Source organism: Homo sapiens, chromosome 19 (assembly GCF_000001405.40).
Source record: "Homo sapiens chromosome 19, GRCh38.p14 Primary Assembly".
Taxonomy (NCBI): domain Eukaryota; kingdom Metazoa; phylum Chordata; class Mammalia; order Primates; family Hominidae; genus Homo; species Homo sapiens.
In genome coordinates this window covers 43,607,224-43,625,581 of record NC_000019.10, presented here as the reverse complement: position 1 = coordinate 43,625,581, position 18,358 = coordinate 43,607,224, and the positions used below count along the sequence as shown (strand labels likewise).

At 52.6% G+C, this 18,358-nt stretch overlaps 3 protein-coding genes and 1 long non-coding RNA gene across 8 annotated transcripts in view, besides 5 other annotated features; 2 read left to right on the top strand and 2 right to left on the bottom strand.

The window, feature by feature from the left end:
- CADM4 (cell adhesion molecule 4) overlaps positions 1–3,214 on the top strand; it is a 19,617-nt gene extending 16,403 nt beyond the window's left edge. For 2 of the 4 annotated variants that reach the window (XM_017026452.1, NM_145296.2), the window contains exons 7-9: positions 332–504; positions 1,340–1,468; positions 2,143–3,214. In XM_017026452.1, the coding sequence (XP_016881941.1) occupies positions 332–504; positions 1,340–1,468; positions 2,143–2,252 (412 nt within the window). In that variant the 3' untranslated portion in view covers positions 2,253–3,214. Of the gene's footprint in view, positions 1–331; positions 505–678; positions 1,299–1,339; positions 1,469–2,142 lie in introns of those variants that run through there. The other 2 variants (XM_005258620.3, XM_047438387.1) reach the window with 2 other exon arrangements.
- Positions 1–6,521, bottom strand: part of LOC105372411 (uncharacterized) — a 15,958-nt gene extending 9,437 nt beyond the window's left edge. The window contains exon 1 of the long non-coding RNA XR_001753942.2: positions 5,950–6,521. This is a non-coding gene — a long non-coding RNA (uncharacterized LOC105372411). The remainder of the gene's footprint in view (positions 1–5,949) is intronic.
- Positions 1,017–1,517: an enhancer, noted in NCBI's record as "H3K4me1 hESC enhancer chr19:44128217-44128717 (GRCh37/hg19 assembly coordinates)". NCBI's record gives its function as "activates a minimal SCP1, AML or CMV promoter by ChIP-STARR-seq in primed H9 embryonic stem cells {active_cell/tissue: H9 hESC(primed)}" and the evidence as "EXISTENCE:reporter gene assay evidence [ECO:0000049][PMID:30033119]".
- Positions 1,518–2,018: an enhancer, noted in NCBI's record as "H3K4me1 hESC enhancer chr19:44127716-44128216 (GRCh37/hg19 assembly coordinates)". NCBI's record gives its function as "activates a minimal SCP1, AML or CMV promoter by ChIP-STARR-seq in primed H9 embryonic stem cells {active_cell/tissue: H9 hESC(primed)}" and the evidence as "EXISTENCE:reporter gene assay evidence [ECO:0000049][PMID:30033119]".
- Positions 5,900–6,139: a silencer, noted in NCBI's record as "silent region_10724". NCBI's record gives its function as "represses an Ori minimal core promoter by ATAC-STARR-seq in GM12878 lymphoblastoid cells {active_cell/tissue: GM12878}" and the evidence as "EXISTENCE:reporter gene assay evidence [ECO:0000049][PMID:35858748]".
- Positions 5,900–6,594: a biological region, named in NCBI's record as "H3K27ac hESC enhancer GRCh37_chr19:44123140-44123790".
- Positions 5,944–6,594: an enhancer, noted in NCBI's record as "H3K27ac hESC enhancer chr19:44123140-44123790 (GRCh37/hg19 assembly coordinates)". NCBI's record gives its function as "activates a minimal SCP1, AML or CMV promoter by ChIP-STARR-seq in naive H9 embryonic stem cells {active_cell/tissue: H9 hESC(naive)}" and the evidence as "EXISTENCE:reporter gene assay evidence [ECO:0000049][PMID:30033119]".
- ZNF428 (zinc finger protein 428) lies at positions 5,953–18,358 on the top strand. 2 transcript variants are annotated; one of them, XM_047438168.1, is made up of 4 exons: positions 5,953–6,024; positions 6,584–6,749; positions 11,148–11,353; positions 17,475–18,358. In XM_047438168.1, the coding sequence occupies exons 3-4, from the start codon at positions 11,278–11,280 to the stop codon at positions 17,963–17,965; spliced, it is 567 nt and encodes a 188-aa protein (XP_047294124.1). In that variant the 5' UTR covers positions 5,953–6,024; positions 6,584–6,749; positions 11,148–11,277; the 3' UTR covers positions 17,966–18,358. The 2 variants fall into 2 exon arrangements, with proteins under 2 accessions (XP_047294124.1, NP_872304.2); NM_182498.4 differs by lacking the exon at positions 6,584–6,749.
- Positions 11,084–13,494, bottom strand: SRRM5 (serine/arginine repetitive matrix 5). The gene has a single exon (NM_001145641.2). The coding sequence runs from the start codon at positions 13,458–13,460 to the stop codon at positions 11,313–11,315; it is 2,148 nt and encodes a 715-aa protein (NP_001139113.1). The 5' UTR covers positions 13,461–13,494; the 3' UTR covers positions 11,084–11,312.

Below are 18,358 nucleotides of genomic sequence, written 5' to 3'. Positions count from 1 at the left end.
ATTTTTTAATTGTAGTGACGGGGTCTCCCTGTGTTGCCCAGGCTGGTCTGGAACTGCTGGCCTTAAGCAGTCCTCCCGTCTCAGCCTCCTAAAGTGCTGGGATTGCAGGCATAAGCCACCATGTTCAGCCTGGGCTAGAATTCCTGAGACCTTGGTGATGGGTGGAAGTAGGCCCAGGACTGTTGGTTTTCCAGAAAGGAAAGAGATAGCAGGAAGCCTCTTATTTGGAGGTCCCTGCGGGATGAGAGTTGCATGTCTAGATTCTTGACAAGTCAGAATTGGGTGCTGGCACCTCGGTTCCTAACTCTCACTATACTTTATCCCCACCCAGGCCAAACCAGATCCGCTGGAACCGCGGGAATGAGTCTTTGCCGGAGAGGGCGGAGGCCGTGGGAGAGACGCTCACGCTGCCGGGTCTGGTATCCGCGGATAACGGCACCTACACTTGCGAGGCGTCCAATAAGCACGGCCATGCGAGGGCGCTCTACGTACTTGTGGTCTACGGTGAGAGCAGGCTGCGGCCGACTGAGGGCGGGGGCGGGGCGCCAGGTGGCGGGGGCGGGGCTTGAGCAAAGAGGCCACATAACTCAGGGGTTCGGCAGCCAACAGAGTTCTTTTTGTTTTGGGACCAGACTGGCCCGCGGGGCTCAAATTCGGGTTGGCTGCATTCTATTGCAGGTAACCGAACCTGTCTGCGCCTCAGTTTACCCATCAGTAAAGTGGAAATAAACAATAGCACCTATATAACAAGGCTGTTGTGAAGATTATGTGAACTAAATATGTAAGGTGGTTGGAATGGGCTCTAGCACACAGCTGTTCTGTGTTTAGCTCTATGACGGTGGGGCAGAAATTTTGGTAGTTGGGCCCAGCACTTTAAATACTTGGAGCGTTTTAGACAAGGTGGGAAGGGACTTGGACCTGTTTCTTGGACTCTGTTTCTTAGTGGAGGAAGAAACTTGAGTCAAAAGAAAAGGGATGGCTGGGTGCGGTCGCTCACGCCTCTAATCCCAGTACTTTGGGAGGCCTAGGCCGGAGGATCGCTTGAGCCCAGGAGTTTAAGATCAGCCTGGGCCACATAGTGAGACCCCCGTCTCTGCAAAAGAAAACAAGAAAAAGAAAAGGAAAATGTAACATGACTCAGGGGAGGGGTCGGGCAGTGTACAAACCAACAAGCATCTGGAAAGAGAAGAGACTACAAGGTGGCAGTAATTTTTGAGGGGTGTGGCACATAAAAGGGCACGGTTAGACGTGTGCAGAATGGCTTAAAAGCTTGGCAGCGATGGGGCCAGACTGGGATCGTCCTCTGATGACCTGGTCCTGTGCCGTGTCCCTCTGGCAGACCCTGGTGCGGTGGTAGAGGCTCAGACGTCGGTTCCCTATGCCATTGTGGGCGGCATCCTGGCGCTGCTGGTGTTTCTGATCATATGTGTGCTAGTGGGCATGGTCTGGTGCTCGGTACGGCAGAAGGGTGAGTGGGACGGGGCCTGGACTCTACGGTTGGTTGGTTGTAGGGCTCGGAAAGAGGCGGGGCCTAGAGCCAGGGTAACGAGAGGGCGGAGCCTAGGCTCTGGATTCCAAATCCCGCCGCACCGGGGGCGGAGATGACAAAGGGGGCGGGGCTTTCGGCACAATACTCGAAAAGGGGTAGAATTTAGAAGCTGAATTAAAAGCATAGATTTGCGGTTGGGCGCGGTGGCTCACGCCTGTAATCCCAGCACGTTGGGAGGCCAAGGCGGATAAAGCACTTGAGAAGCTAGGAGGTCGAGACCAGCCTGGGCACCATGGCGCAGCCCCTTTTCTACTAAAAATACAAAAAATTAGGGGAAAAAAAGAGCATGGATTTGAATAAAACAATTTATTTTCCTAATTGCTGAATTCGCTGGGAGCAGGGCAAGGAAATACCTCCAAGAGAAAGGATAAGGGTGGCACTTTCGGTGAGCTTTTGGAGTCTTCCTAATTCTGCTTTTACCTCTTTCTCTGCCACTGTTTACCTCTTTCTCTGCCTCTCCCTGTGTGTTCCGTTTCTCCCTCTTCCTTCGCCTGGCATGTGTCTTGTCTGTCTCCCTCTTCCCTTATACTTCTGTCCAACTCCTGGATCCACAAATATGTCCCCCCTGCCCCGGGGGTCTGTCACCCCCTCAGGTTCCTATCTGACCCACGAAGCCAGTGGCTTGGATGAACAGGGAGAAGCAAGAGAAGCCTTCCTCAATGGCAGCGACGGACACAAGAGGAAAGAGGAATTCTTCATCTGACCCTATCCCCACCCCAGGCCTAGGCCTGGGCCTGGGCTGGGGTCCCCCCCACTGCCAGCTGCAAGGAACCAGCAAAGACATTTACCAGAGTCTGGGATGGTGGGCTTCTCCCCCCACCACTAACACCTCAGACGCTTGGGCAGGGATGGGGGTGTTGGATGCCTGGATCTCTGTAAGGGCCAGAAGTGAGGGCCCAGAGGTCTGGGTCCCCCAGGGGGCAGGGGCCAAAGGTCCAGACCCCCCAAGTCCAGTGAGGGCAGTAGGGATTGGGTTGGGGGAAGATAACTGGGGGAAGGCCAGGGCCCCTAGGCTACAAAACCAGGTCTTGTGGGGAGGGGGTCAGTTTCTGGGAAGGGTGGGGGGGGCAGGGAAGGGGAACACAGATTTCTTTGGGGGTCCTAGACCCCATGCCAGCCATTGTAAGAGTTCCACAGAGCTCTGGGCACTTCTTTGCAAAGCCATGTTTGCACGGTGGGGGGATGGGTGGGGGGAGGGCGTGGAAATAGGGATTCTGTGTCTTTGTGTCATAACTTTGATGGGGGCAGTGAGGGAGACAGCCCCAACCCTTTTCTCCAATCCCCCTTCCCCAGGTTCCTGGGCTCCCCTTCTCTCTACCTTCTCCCCCAACGTCTGTCCCATCCATATTTGTCTCTCTGTCCACCCACTCCTGGGGGGGCCTTCCCCATCTCTCCTCCAGGCCCCCCGGGGAGGGGGAAAGGAGTTTGGGGAGGATTCGTGGTCTTCATGGTTTTATATATAATATATTAAAAAATCAAAAGTCTGTATGAAAATATCAGATTGCACCCCCCTCTCCCCATTCCTGGCTTTTGCCCCCTTTTTCTTGTTAAAAAACAAAAAACAAAAAACAAAAAACCACACACACATTTTGTACGGGGTGGGGAGGGGAATGGGGAGGGGGTTTGGCAATCTCACTAACCACCATTAAACTGAGGAGAGAACAAGTGTTTGGGGTGGCTGTGTGTCTGTCCTGCTGTCAAGGGCTGTACCATTGGGAGGGGAACTAAGGGAGAGGGGAGGGAGGAGTGTGATGGTTGCTGGTGGACAGTATAGGCCAGGAGAAGGTCCTGACCTCACTGAGGGTACCTCGACCTCCCCAGAAACCTGGGTTTGGCCATTTCTTCAGCCAAATAGTCACAGTCTTGTCTTTTTGATAGCGACTGAGCTACCCCATTCCATGGCCCGGACCCTTACCCTGGCTTCCCCCTACCCCAGACATTAGTCTCCAAGGGAACTTTGAATTAAAGTTAAACTCTCAAAACCTTTGCCTAGCTCCCCATCACCTTTAGACCAAGTCAAAGCTCTTTAGTCTGGCATCCCAGGCCTCTCATTCATTCATGTACATTTTAGATGTATTATTCTAACTTTAAAAAATAACCTCTTACGATGTGCCAGGTGCTGCTCAAAGTTCTAGAGTCCATGGTGAATAAAACAGGCAAATGTTAAGTGTTAAAGACAGCGCTACACTAATCTGAAATCTGATCCTGCTCTAAGCATTGAGAACCCAAAGTGAAAAAGGGCGACTCCATTCTTACCCTCATGAAGCTTTCATGAGGAAAACACTCAAAACAAGGAAGCAAAGAAAGTTCAGATTGTGATAAGAACTATTAATATAAATGCAGAGTATGGTGATGTGGTATGCCATTGTCATTATGGAAAACTTCAAACCCACAGGAGTAGACAGGACAATAACGTCCCATGTACTCTTTTTTTTGAGACCAAGTCTCGCTCTGTCGCCCAGGCTGGAGTGCAGTAGCGCCATCTCGGATCACTGCAAGCTCCGCCTCCCGTGTTCACGCCATTCTCCTGCCTCAGCCTCCCGAGTAGCTGGGACTACAGGCGCCTGCCACCACGCCCGGCTAATTTTTTTTTTTTTTTTTTTGTATTTTTAGTAGAAATGGTCTAGGATGGCCAGGATGGTCTCGATCTTCTGACGTGATCCGCCCGCCTCGGCCTCCCAAAGTGCTGGGATTACAGGCGAGACCCAGAGTCTCGCTGGGTGGCCCAGGCTGGAGTGCAGTGGCTCAATCTCGACTCAATGCAACCTCTGCCTCCAGGGTTCAAGTGATCTTCGTGCCTCAGCCTCCCAAGTAGCAAGGATTACAGGCACCCCCCATAACCCCTGGCTAATTTTTGTAGTTTTAATAGAGGCAGGGTTTCACCATGTTGCCCAGGCTGGTCTCAAGCTCCTGACCTCAGGTGATACACCAGCCTCGGCCTCCCAAAGTGCTGGGATTACGGGCGTGAGCCACCGCGCCCAGCCCCATGTACTCTTCATGCCAGTTACAACCACCACCAACTCATGGCCAATCCCGATTTATCCATAACTCCAGTCAAATGTGTAAGTGCTATTATGGAGAGATCAGGAAAAGCCTCTCAGATTGACATCTGTACCAAGATATGAATGGTGAGCACAAGAGTAGGTATTCAAAGGTCAGAGGGAAAAGCATTTTCAGGCGGAGGGAACGGCAAGAGCAGAGGCCCGAGCTGGTAAAGAGTTTGGGGTAAGGTGGAGCTGGACAGAAATGGAGGGAGGAGGAAGTAGGTGGGGTCAGAAAGATAAGCACGGCCAGACCAGGTGTATAGCCCTGAGGCCATGATAAAGATTTTTGGATTTTTTTTTTTTCCTAATGGGATCCCTTTGGGGGAGTTTTAAGCCAGAATGTGACAAAGTCACTTACAGGAAGACTGGAATGTAGCCATAGTTGAACTCTAACATCGTCTATAGAACCATTTCCCGTCTCCAGTTAGGTTCTAGGCATACTAAGCTGCTCTTGCTTCCTCAATCAAAACATGCGCTTCTATTTTTTTTTTTTTTTTTTTGGCCTCTGGGCCTTGGCGCTTGCAGTTCATTCTGCCAGACCCATTCCCATTCTAGTTGGCTCCTATTCGTACTTGGCTTAAGGATCACCACCTCCTGGAAGTCTTTCTAGAACCAGAGGCCGGGGCAAGCGCCTCTTAGGCTCCCACAGCCCCCTGTGTTCCTCACTCCAGGTCTGACCTTCTGGGTAGTAGTTGTCTAATTAGGTGCGTATCTCCTTCGACTGGGGTGCCGTGAGTACAGGAGTATGGTTCACTGCAGAAACCACAGAATCCGCCAGCATGGGGCCTGACACCTAGGAGATCAATAAACCTTTATCCTGGTTGGGAGGGGTCCTGGCCCTCGTGCCCTCTCTCAGGATGCAAACTGATCCCCTACGAAGACAAGGCTACCCACTTCGCGTCAGTCTGCAGTCCCTGCGCGCATGCGCTTTGCTCAGGTTGCCCCCGCCATATGCTAATCACTGCGCTCTGGAGTAAGGCCCCTCCGGGGAATATGCAAATCACTCCTTCCAGTGCGGGAGGCCTTTCATTGTCCCGCGCTAGGATTATGCAAATAAGCAGGCCTCGGGCCCAGGATCCAGTCCGAACTAGCGCCCTCCACCCCCAGCGCATCCCAGTTTTGTAAGGCGCGTTCCTGCCCCGCACACGCACGCGCGAACCCTTCAGCTTCTTGTTCCTTTGGGCCGCGGGCTGTACCAAGTAAACCCAGGCAGCGAGGGGCAAAGCACGGCGCCCCCCGCGCGGGTCTCGTCGACGGCCCGACGCGCATAGCCCCTCTTCCCACAGCGCTACAGGACTAGTCCGTCTCGCCGCGCAAGCGCCCTAGGCTCTTCACGCCCCCTGCGCGCTGTCCTACCCTACTTGCGACGCAGGCGCAGAGGCTGGGCGTGCAGCCGCCGCCGCAGAGCCGGAGCGGGGGCCGCCGGCGCCGGTGAGTGTCCCGGGCAGGGGTGCGCGAGGCATGCCGGGAAGCGGGCGCTACGGCCCCGCTGCATGATGGGAGCGACGACTCCCGTCACCGGGGAGCCGGCGGTCTGGGGCCGTGGTGACCCGAGGGCTTCTTTTTCTCCCCCTACGCGTTTGTGCCGCCCTGGGGCATCCTGGGAGAACCGAGCGCTCCGCCTTGAAGCGCTGTGGGAGTCGGTCCGCTAGTCGTAGGCCTGGTGCATCCTGGGAAAGAGTGTCCCAGATCCTTGTCGAGACCGGTTCCTTTTATCCCACACCTGCCGCTGACCGTCCTGGAGGCTTGGAGCGCTTCCACACGGGGAGTCTGGGAAGGTGGTCGCTATAGGCCTAAGGCATCCTGGGAAGAACTGCCACAACGAATTGTGGGAACTGGCCGTTATTGTCCCGTAGTGGAAGGTTTTGCCCTGGTCTCTTTGCTCGAGCATTGGAACGGGTGCCTATTGTGTTCACGCGGGGCATCTTGGGAATTGACTGCTATAGGCCCAGGGCATTGTGGGGTCTCCAGCACTGTGTTTGCCTTTCAGTTTGGCTGCCATAGGCGTGGTAGGAGTGGGACTTGTGAACCAAGGGATGGCCCTACCTGACGTCTGGAATACTCTGGAAGGGGCCTTGTGTGACGTGGGCTTGGAAAAGTGTAGGCTGATGGGCATTGTCTCCTGGTAACTTCAGGGAATGTCTTGATTGTCCCAGGTGTGTGGTTGCCGTATAAAATATACAATGTCTAGTTAAATTTGAATTTCAGATAAACAATTATATCCAAAAGATACAACCTTTTAGAAAAGTATGTCCCAAATATCACATGGAACATAGCTATATTAATTCTTTGGGCTAGTTGCAGTGATACCAATACTTTGGGAGGCTAAGGCAGGAGGATCGCTTGAGACCAGGAGTTCAAGACCAGCCTGGGCAATATAGTGAGACCCCCGTCTCTACAAAAAAAAAAAAAAAAAAAAAAAGTAAAAATTAAGCCTGGCATGGTGGCGCATACCTGTAGTCCCAGCTGCTCTCCTAGGGGCTAGTAGGGTACCTTGAGCACAGGAGTTTGAGGTTACAGTGAGCTAACCTCCCAACCTGGTTATGGGGGAGTACATGAGTTAAGGCCTGGAAGCCCCTTTCCTACAGATCACCCTACTGCACTCCAGCCTGGGCAACTGAGCGAGACCCTGTCTCTTAAAAAATATAAATAAGTAGGCTGGGCGCGGTGGCTCACGCCTGTAATCCCAGCACTTTGGGAGGCCGAGGCGGGTGGATCACGAGGTCAGGAGATCGAGATCATCCTGGCTAACACGGTGAAACCCCATCTCTACTAAAAATACAAAAAATAGTCGGGCGTGGTGGCAGGCGCCTGTAGTCCCAGCTACTCGGAAGGCTGAGGCAGGAGAATGGCGTGAACCCAGGAGGCGGAGCTTGCAGTGAGCCGAGATCGTGCCACTGCACTCCAGCCTGGGCGACAGAGCAAGACTCCGTCTCAAAAAAAAAAAAAAAAAAAAAAAAAAAGCCGGGCATGGTGGCACGCGCCTGTAGTCCCAGCTACTTGGGAGGCTGGGGCAGGATAATCGCTTGAACCCAGGAGGCAGAGGTTGCAGTGAGCCGAGATCGCGCTACTGCGCTCCAACCTGGGCGACAGAGTGACACTCCGTCCCAAAAAAGAAAATTAAATAAATAAATAAATAAGGGCCAGGTGTGGTAGCTCATGCCTGTAATCCCAGCACTTTGGGAAGTGGGAGGCCAAGGCAGGAGGATTGTTTGAGCCAGGAATTTGACAGCAGCCTTCGCAACATAGTGAGACACCATCTCCGCAACAAAAACCCAAAAACAAACAAAAAAATTAATTGGATGTCTTCTGTTTTTATTTGCTAAATCTGGCAATCTTATCTTGGTATAAAGTAGAATTCCCAAATTAGATGGGGCCCTGTAGGCAATAGGGTATCATTAGAATTCTCCTCTGCCAATTATGAAATCTGTCTTTAAAAGCCAAGATTTAGGTGCTTTCTTTAGGAAGTTGCCCTGCCAATGATGCCAATGGTCCTTTGCCCCAGCCACCTCCAGGTTTCAATCTGAAGCTTTTCTCTTTAGTCCCCAGCATTAAACTTGACATCCAGACTTTGAAGGGACCATGTATTTTCCACCATTGTATCCCCAGTGCATGGGCCTTGGCATGTAAGAGATATAGCTGAGGCTGCATCAACTGGCCCTGCTTGGTTCTCTACTGTCAGGGAGTACAGTGGAAGACAGTAGTGGTGTGTGTGTGTGGTGGGGTTGGTGGGGGGCGGGGGCGGTCCGTTGGTGAAGAGGGAGAGAGAGAAGTCACAGAAGGCTTCCTGGCAGAGGCAGTATTTCAGCGGGCAAGAAGTATAGAGGTTCTTATGTTTGTGGTGGGCTTTGAAGGGTGAAAAGGAGTTCTCCAGGCCAAAAAGGGGGAAGGAGGGCTGGGCGTGGTGGCTCTTGCCTGTAATCCCAGCACTCTGGGAGGCCAAGGTAAATGGATCACCTGAGGTCAGGAGTTTGAGACCAGCCTGGCTGACATAATGAAACCCTGTCTCTACTAAAAATACCAAAAAATTAGCCGGGCATGGTGGTGGTGGCTGCCTGTAATCCCAGCTACTAGGGAGGCTGATGCAGGGTAGAGGTTGCAGTGAGCTGAGATCGCGCTACTGTACTCCAGCCTGGGCAACAAAGTGAGACTCCATCTCAAAAAAAAAAAAAAAAAGGAGGAGGAGGACATTCTTGACAGCAACAGTGGGTGTACTAAGACCCACAGATGTGAAAAGGCCTTGTGTGCACAGGGAGAGATGAGAGGTCTGGAACATCTGGAGTTTATAGAGGGGCAGGGGTGGGAGTAGTAATGGCCACTCTTGATGGAATACCAGCCACACACCAGCAATTTCTATCAGTGAGCCTACTGAATCTTCAGAAAAACCTTTTGAGCTGAGAAATCATTTTATGAAAGGTCTGGCTTCCAATCCTAGTTCATCCACTTACCAGATGGTGACCTTGGGCTACTCACTTATCACCTCTGTGTCTGTTTCCTCATCTGTACAAAGGAGATAATTCCCAGTCTAGTTATGGGGAGTACGTGAGTTAAGGCCTGGAAGCCCCTTTCTTCCAGAGAAGGAAACAGGCTAGAGAAGTTAAGTTCTTTGCTTGGTGCTACACAGCTAGAGTGTGGCAAACCTAGACACTATCTTGCCAATTGATACAGAACTAAGGCTGATAATCACAAACTAGTATAGCCATACCAATTGTTTAAATATTAAAATACTTCCAGATGGGTTGGTGTGTCACTGCTACACAAGTACTCCCTGTCCCTAACTGCCACTTTGGACCCCCCTTGTGGTATTATATATATAAATATATTGGTTTTCATCCACAGTTCCTGGCTGGTAACTCCTACAGCCTTTGTTACAGTCTCTTGTTATAATGTTGTGTACCTTAGGCCTGGGGCAGGTCTGAAGAAACAGAATCTCTCTGACCTCCTCCTGCCCTCCATTTCCTGCCCCAGGGCAAGACTCTAATCTTCCCCACCTTCTTGATTGTTGGTCTTAAGACACTTTTCAGAGAAGTCCATGCCCAATGCTGCTGTCTTAAAGCCTCCGTAAAAACCCAAGAGGACTGGGTTTGGAGAGCTTCCGCATAGCTAACCACCTGAGGGTTCCTGTAGGGTAGCACCCCAGGGAGGGCGTGAAGCTCCCTGCCCCTTCCCTTATACCTTGCCCTACACATCTCTTCATCTTTGTTCTTTGCAATATCCTCTATAATAAACCAGTAAATCTAAGTAAGCATTTCCTTGAGTTCTGTGAGCAGCTCCAGCAAAAATTTTTTTTTTGTAAGATGGGTCATCCAGGCTTGAGTGCAGTGGCAAGGTCACGGCTCACTGCAGCCTTGACCTTCCAGGCTCAATTTATCCTCCTGCCTCAGCCTCTCAGGTAGCTGGGACTATAAGCACATGCCACCACACCGGCTAACTTTTGTAATTTTTTTTTTTTTTTTAGAGACAAGTTTGCCATGTTGCCTAGGCTGGTGTCAAACTCCTGAGCTCAGGTGATCTGCCCACCTCGGCCTCCCAAAGTGCTGGGATTACAGGCATGGGTCACTGCGCCCGGCCTTATTTTTATTTTTTTAAAAAAGTCGGGTGTGGTGGCTCACGCCTGTAATCCCAGCACTTTGGAGGGCTGAAGTGGGCAGATTGCTTGAGCTCTGGGCAACATGGTGAAACCCTGTCTCTTCCAAAAATACAAAAATTAGCTGGGTGTGGGGACAGCGTTGGAATGGAATCGGAGGGGACACCTAGCTGTTGTCTGCTGTGTAGTGTGTGGGGAAAAAGCCCCACACATTTGGTCACAGAATTCTGTGTTGATGATTGTTGTGATAGTGTGAGAGTAGAGGAAAAACACAGTTTGAGGGTTTTTTTTCCCCATAACACTTCCCCAACCCCAGACCTCCCCATGGTCCAGCAACTAAAGGGTTAAGGCCTGGTATCCGTCCCGCTCCACTCTCAGTTCTGATTGGTGCCCACACCAGTCCCCACTGTTGAATATTTGGAGTGTCACCTCTCCCTACCCCACTGAATAAGAACCAGAAGGCAGCCTTGTTGCCCACATGCGGAAATTAAGACCTAGAGAGGGGGACGGGTGCGGTGGCTCATGCCTATAATCCCAGCACTTTGCGAGGTTGAGGCATGTGGATCACCTGAGGTCAGGAGTTCGAGCCCAGCCTGGCCAACATGGTGAAGCCCCATCTCTACTAAAAATACAAAATTAGCCGGGCGTGAGGACGCACACTTGTAGTTCCAGCTACTCGGGAAGCTGAGGTAGGAGAATTGCTTGAGCCTGGGAGGTGGAGGTTGCAGTGAGCTGAGATCACACCACTGCACTCCAGCCTGGGCAACAGAGAGAGACTCTGTCTCAAAAAAAAAAAAGACCTAGAGAGGGGCAGGGCTTGCAGTCAAGACCCTGTAGACAGTCAGGGACAGAGCTGGGGTCCTCTGTGCCCCATGCCAGCAGTGAGCACACAGTTGGGCTTGGTGGGGATGGGTGCTATGTAAAAATTTATTGAATCATCACAGGTCTTTCCTTTCCCCCTATCCAGCATCCCTCTCTACCTGCCAACATCCTGTATTAGAGAACTTGTGGCCGGAGGTGTGGCTGTGGAGAGCTGGCCGGGGAGGGACGCTGCTCAGCTGCTGCTCTGCTCCTGTCTCCTGTCCCCTCCCCCGGTCATGACAGAGACCCGTGAGCCAGCTGAGACTGGGGGCTACGCCAGCTTGGAAGAAGATGATGAAGACCTTTCCCCAGGTAAGGTGGCCTTAGAGGTGGTGGCGTCGGCTTGACTGTCATCCTGGCTTAGGGTTTGGCCCCCACTGGGAAATGTTGATGGGGAGTGGCTGCTTGTCTTGCTAGGGGTTCTATTCTGACTGAGACTGCTTGTCCTAGTAGGGGATCTCTTCCAGTCGGGACTTCTGGGGACTGTAGATTGACTGGGGTCGCTCTCCTTGCTAGAGGTTCTAGATTGGCTATGATTTCCTTCTTTGCTGGGGGTTCTAGATCGGCTATGAGCTTTCTCCTTGCTGGAGGCTCTAGGTCGACTGTAACCACTCTGCTTATTGGGGCTTCTAGATCGGCTGTGATCTCTCTCCTCGCTGGAGCTTCTAGATTGTCTGCGCTCTCTCTCCTTGCTGGGGCTTCTCCATCGTCTGCGATCTCTCTCTTTGCTGGGGCTTCTGGATTGTCTGTGCTCTCTCTCCTCGCTGGGGCTTCTAGATTGGCTGCGATCTCTCTCCTTGTTGGGGCTTCTAGATTGTCTGCGCTGTCTCTCCTTGCTGGGGCTTCTAGATCGTCTGTGATCTCTCTCTTTGCTGGAGCTTCTAGATTGTCTGCACTGTCTCTCCTTGCTGGGGCTTCTAGATCGTCTGTGATCTCTCTCTTTGCTGGGGCTTCCAAGTTGGCTGTGATCTCTTTCCTTGCTGGGGCTTCTAGATCGGCTGCGATCTCTCGCCTTGTTGGGACTTCTAGATCGGCTATGATCTCTTGCCTTGTTGGGACTTCTAGATCGGCTGCGATCTCTCGCCTTGTAGGGACTTCTAGATCGGCTGCAATCTCTCGCCTTGTTGGGACTTCTAGATCGGCTGCGATCTCTCGCCTTGTAGGGACTTCTAGATCGGCTGCGATCTCTCGCCTTGTTGGGACTTCTAGATCGGCTGTGATCTCTCTGCTTGTTGGGGCTTCCTGATTGACTGCGACCACTCTCCTTCCTGGGGCTGCTAGATCCCCTGTGATCTCTCTCTTTGCTGGAGCTTCTGGAATGGCTATGACTTCTTTCCTTGCTGGGGTTTCTAGACCAGTTGTGACTTCTTCCTCTTCTGGGGGTTCTAGATTGGTTTTGACTTTTCCCCTTGCTGTGGCTTCTAGACTGGCTGTGTCTTCCCATCTGGCTCAGAATTCCCTTCCGGGTGCGACTTCTTGCCCTGCTATGGTTTCTCTTCCAACTGTGACTTCTCACTCTGCTGTGCGTCCTCTTCTGACTGCCACTTCTTGACCTTCTGGGGCTTCTAGATTGGCTGTGACTTTGCGGCCTGCTGCGGGTGCTGGCCTGGTTATAACTCTTGACCCTGCTGGACATTTCAGTGGGGCTGTAACTCTTTTCCCTACTGGGGATGATCATCTGACCGTAGCTCTTCACCTTCCTTGATGAGGATGGAGATGGGTTGTCACTCTTCTCCTTGGAGGGAATTCCAGTCGGGGTTTGACACTTGGCTGTACTGGGAGTTACAGCCAGCTCGGAACTCCTCCCTATACCTGAGCCTCCTGGTGGGCGGTAACTCTTCTTGCTCAGATTTCTAGGCTGGCTGTCACTCCTTTCCCTGTTGCTGGTTCTAGGCCGGCCGTAACTCTTTCCCCGGCTCCCTTTTTGCTGTGAAGTGGGAGTTCTCACCCTGCTGGCCATGCCTGGTCTGGCACCATGAGTTCTTATCCTGCCAGGAGTGCTGGCCCTGCTGGGTGACCTCTTGGAGCTGCGGCTTCCCCTTCTGCCAGGTGTCCTACCCCGGCTGTGTGTGCCCCTCCGCTGGTGGCATCTCACGTCGCTGGCCTTGCTGGCTTTGCTGGTCCTGGTGTCGGTGCTCACCCTGCTGGGTGTTCTTGCTTTGCTGCGGACTCGGGACCTGCTGCTGGGCCGGTTAGAAGGGGCTCTTTTTGTACTGGTCGATTTGGTGGACTTGGAACTGCTTGGGCTCATGACTGAGTTACGGGATGTCGCTGGTTTGGTGGGCACTAAGGATCTGTTGGGTGTTGCTGATTTGGTGGACTTCAAGGAGGCAGGAGGCTTGGGATCCGCAGTGGGCATGGAGGATCCACTGGGTGCCAGAGACATACTGGGCTTTGAAGATCTCTTAGGTGAAGACATGGTGGGCGCAAAAGGGCTTGTGGTCCTGGAAGTCACAGTAGACATGAAACACCTGGTAGCCGTGGACGATGACCTGATTGCCTGTCACAGGCCAACTGTGTGAAGTAATAGTGGGCATTGAAGACTCTGGAGGGTGAGTGGTATGAAGTCAGAGGTGGGAGGAGAGAGGGGAGGGGTCCCAGCCTGAGGCTGGAGATATTTCCTCTGGTTTGCAGCCATTCAGCAGATGTCTTCTGAGGCTGACTCATGCCCAGCATTGCTGGGGACACAGAGATGGGGCAGACCCAGGCCCTGCCTTCAAGGAGCCCATAGTCAGTGGGTGGGGAGGGGGGCCACTGCCCAGAGTGGTCAGGGTGTGATGGAGAGCAGTGCAGGGGCCGGGGAGCCCATACGAGAGAGACACTGACCGCTTGGGGAGTCAGCGAGGACTTCACAGAGGAGGTGACATGAGCTTGGCTTTAAAAAGGAGCAGGAGTTTTGCCAGTAGAGAAAGAAAGGGTCAGGCTGGGCGCGGTGGCTCACACCTGTAATCCCAGCACTTTGGGAGGCTGAGGCAGGCAGATCACCTGAGGTCAGGAGTTCAAGACCAGCCTAACCAACAAGGTGAAACCCCATCTCTACCAAAAATATAAAAATTAGCCAGGTGTGATAGCACACGCTTGTAATCCCAGCTACTTGGGAGGCTGAGGTGGGAGGATCGCTTGAACCTTGGAGGCGGAGGTTGCAGTGAGCCAAGATCACGCCATTGCACGCCAGCCTGGGTGACAGCGAGACTCTCTCTCGAAAAAAAAAAAAATGAACGGGTCAACCAGGTGGGCGAGGAGCAGAGGCCAAGGCTTTGGGGAGGGAGATCAGGGTCTTGGGGCCACTATCATCCACTCACCCACACGTCCTCTGCTGCGGACCCCAAGATCATACCTGCCCTTGAGGAGTTCCCAGTCAGATAAGGGAGATACCCTGGGGGGCAGCTGACTGCAGTCAGCTTCTAGGGCAGTAACAGGAGGAGGTGCTGGGGCAGGGGAAGCTGGAGAGAGACCTGGCTGGGAGCCTGGGGCTTCAGGGTGGTGGCTTCACAGAGGACAGAGTTTGTGCTGGGTCTTGAAGGATGAGTAGGGGGTCACCAGGTGGATAGAGTGGGGAACAGCCCATACCAAGGCCTCAGGAAACGATTGTTAAATGGCAGGAACTAGTAGGAGAGAGCTGCAGGGACGGATGTTCAGAAGGAAAGAGTTATAACCTGTTCTGGGCTGGTGATGCTGGGGACCCAGCAGGAGGGTGGTAAAAAAAGTGACTGGCTGCCTGGGATGAGGAGGTCTGGGACGGCCTCACCAAAGAGGAAGGCCTCCCACTGGGTCCTAAAGGATGGTGGGAAAAACTAGGGCAGGACATTCCCACCAGAGGGAGGAACAGTGTGTGTGAAGCCTCAGAAAAGGTTTGTCAAATTCCATGCAGAGATATCCATGCCATAAATATGTCATAAGTACTTTCTTTGCACAAAGGAAGTGTTTTAGATGCTGGGGCCACAGCAGTGAACCAGACAAAGTCCCAGCTCTCGGGGACAGGCAGTAAACAAACACACAAGTAAATGTTGAATGCAGTGAGTCAGAAGATGGAGAAAAATGAGCCGGCTGCGGTGGCTCATACCTATAATCCCAGCACTTTGGGAGGCTGAGATGAGTGGATCACTTGAGGTCAGGAGTTTGAGACCAGCCTGGCCAACAAGGTGAAACCCCGTCTCTACTAAAAATACAAAAATTACCTGGGCATGCTGGTGCGCCCCTGTAATCCCAGTTACTTGAGAGGCTGAGGCAGAAGAATTGCCTGAACCCAGGAGGCGGAGTTTCCAGTGAGCTGAGATCACGCCACTGCACTCCAGCCTGGATGACAGAGCGAGACTCTATCTCAAAAGAAGATGGAGAAAAATCAAGCAGAGTAAGGGGCGTAGGGAGTGCTGGGGAGTGGCCAGGGCGTCACTGAGAAGGTGACACTTGAGAAGAGACATGGAATGGAGAGTGACATCGGCAGAAAGGGTGGCAAAGACCCTGAGGCAGGTATGGGCCTGGGGTGTTGGAAGGTGAGGAGCCTGGTATGAAGAGCCTGTGGCCACTGTGATGACAGGAGCAAGGGCGGAGCACAGGGTGCAGTAGCAGGATCCTCTGGGTTCTGGGAGAAACTGAGGAATGGGGCTGGGATGGATACAAGGTGAGGCTTTTGGCAGGCTCCTACCACCAAGGCCGAAGAAGCTGGTACTTCCCACACCGTGGTCACAGGGACCCCATCCCCAACCATTACTCTGTGTGTGCGCCCCCATAATGGCAGCTGATGTCGCCCTTTTCCGTATATCAACTATAAATTTTTCCCCTTTTCTTTTTTTTTTTTGGGAACGGAGTCTTGCTCTGTCACCCAGGCTGGAGTGCAGTGGTTCAATATTGGCTCATCGCAACCTCCGCCTCCCGGGTTCGAGCAATTCTCCTGCCTCAGAGTCCTGAGTAGCTGGGACTATAGGCACCCACCACCCCACACTTGGCTAAATTTTGTATTTTTAGTAGAGACGGGGTTTCACCATGTTGCCCAGAGTGGGTCATGAACTCCTGAGTTCAGGCAATCCGCCCACCTCAGCCTCCCAAAGTGCTAGATTACAGGCCTTTTTCTTTAAACCTAAACTTGTCCTAGGCCTGTCCTTGATAACTGTGAAATCACAGTAATATATCTTACCTATAAATAAATGTTTTAATTCACCTAACTCTCTCTCTCTCTCTCTCCATGGCCACAGATATAAAAGTACATCTGTGTGTATGCATGTGTTTTAATTTGCACAAATACCTTTTCAAATGGTTGTCTCCCTAAAATGATCCAGTGTCAGCCATGGCCCAGGTTCAGCTTTTCCTGCCAGAGCTGTGTAACCACAGGGGAGTGAGTCGTCTAGCCTCCCTGTGCCTCAGTTTCCACATCCATCAACTGGGGATAGTAATAGTACCACCCTCAAAGGGTTGTTGAGGATTTAGTGAGTTAATGTATAAGAACAGGGCTCCTACAATAGCAAGGATGCTGTTGTTACTGGTGGGTTTTTACTACTCCGGCTTTGTCCTTCCTAAATGCCTCCCACCCCACCTCCCCATGGAGTTTTTGTTTTCTTTTGCAATCAATCGAAAGAATCAAATAATTTTTTTTTTTTTTTTTTGCTTTTTTCTAAGACAGCAGAGTCTTGCTCTGTCACCCAGGCTGGAGTGCAGTTGTGTGATCTCGGCTCACTGCAACCTCCGCCTCCTGGGTTGAAGCAGTTCTCCTGCCTCAGCCTCCCGAGTAGCTGGGATTACAGGCGCCCGCCACCACACCCAGCTAATTTTTGTATTTTTAGTAGAGACGAGGTTTCACCATGTTGGCCAGGCTTGTCTTGAACTCCTGACCTCATGATCTGCCCACCTTGGCCTCCCAAAGTGCTAGGATTACAGGAGTAATCTACCGCGCCCGGCCAAAAAAATTCTTTTTAAGTGGTGAGGTCTCACTCTGTCACCCAGGCTGGAAGGGAGTGGCGCAATCATGGCTCAAATGCAGCCTGGAACTCCTCGGCTCAAGTGATCCTCCCGCCTCAGCCTCCCGAGAAGCTGGTACTACAGGTAATGCATCACCAGGCCTGGCTAATTTTTTAATTTTTTGTAGAGACGGAGTCTTGCTATATTGCCCAGGCTGGTCTCAAACTTCTGGGCTCAAGTGATCTTCCCACCTTGGCCACCCAAAAGTGCTGGGATTACAGGCATAAGCCACTGTGCCCAGTCCTGTCCCATGCAGTTCTTGGAAGACATTCATTTGCTTGACACAAAGATACAGGGAATCTACTGGGTGCCAGTCTTGTTCTGTGCCATGGGGACTCATCTGTGGGGAAGGGAAGGGTAGTGTCTAGGCTATCCTTGTCATACTATGGCAAGTCTGAATGTGGGGATTCAGGGAGGGGACAGCTTGGCCTAGCCCTCTTTCCTCTGATACCACTGTCTTCCCCTGTCTGTCCCCCTCCAGGCCCCGAGCATTCCTCTGATTCAGAATACACTCTCTCAGAGCCGGACTCCGAAGAGGAAGAAGATGAGGAGGAGGAGGAAGAGGAGACCACTGACGATCCTGAATATGATCCTGGCTACAAGGTGAAGCAGCGCCTTGGCGGGGGCCGTGGTGGCCCATCCCGCCGGGCCCCCCGTGCAGCCCAGCCCCCGGCCCAGCCTTGCCAGCTCTGTGGCCGCTCACCCCTTGGGGAGGCCCCACCGGGAACCCCACCCTGCCGGCTCTGCTGCCCTGCTACAGCCCCCCAGGAAGCACCAGCCCCTGAAGGCAGGGCCCTCGGGGAGGAAGAGGAGGAACCACCTCGGGCTGGGGAGGGCCGACCAGCTGGGCGGGAGGAGGAGGAGGAAGAGGAGGAGGAGGGAACCTACCACTGTACGGAATGTGAGGATTCCTTCGACAACCTGGGGGAGCTGCACGGGCACTTCATGCTGCATGCCCGGGGTGAGGTGTAGGCAGAGCCCCCATACGGGGAGCTTGGCAGAAGGGGTGGGGTGGGAGGAGGGGGCTGAGGAAATTGGGGTTGTGACAGTGGTCATGGGGGATGGGGTACTGCCGGTCTGTGTTGTCTTAGAAGTAGATGTGTGATGGCCAGAATAAAAGCCAAAATCTGTATCTGTGTGTGTTGGTTCAGAGTGTGTGTGTGTGTGTGTGTATTCCCGCCCGTGTGTGTGTTTGTGTGTGTGTGTGTGTGTGTGTATTCCCCCTGGGCTCCTTCTTGGGGAACCTTGGGGTCTTTTGGGAAAGATAACATTTACTGCGTGCTTGTATTCGATGAGGTTTCCATGTATTTACTTACAGACCCCATAATGTAAAGGCTCTAATAATAGAATTTTGTTTCTCACTCA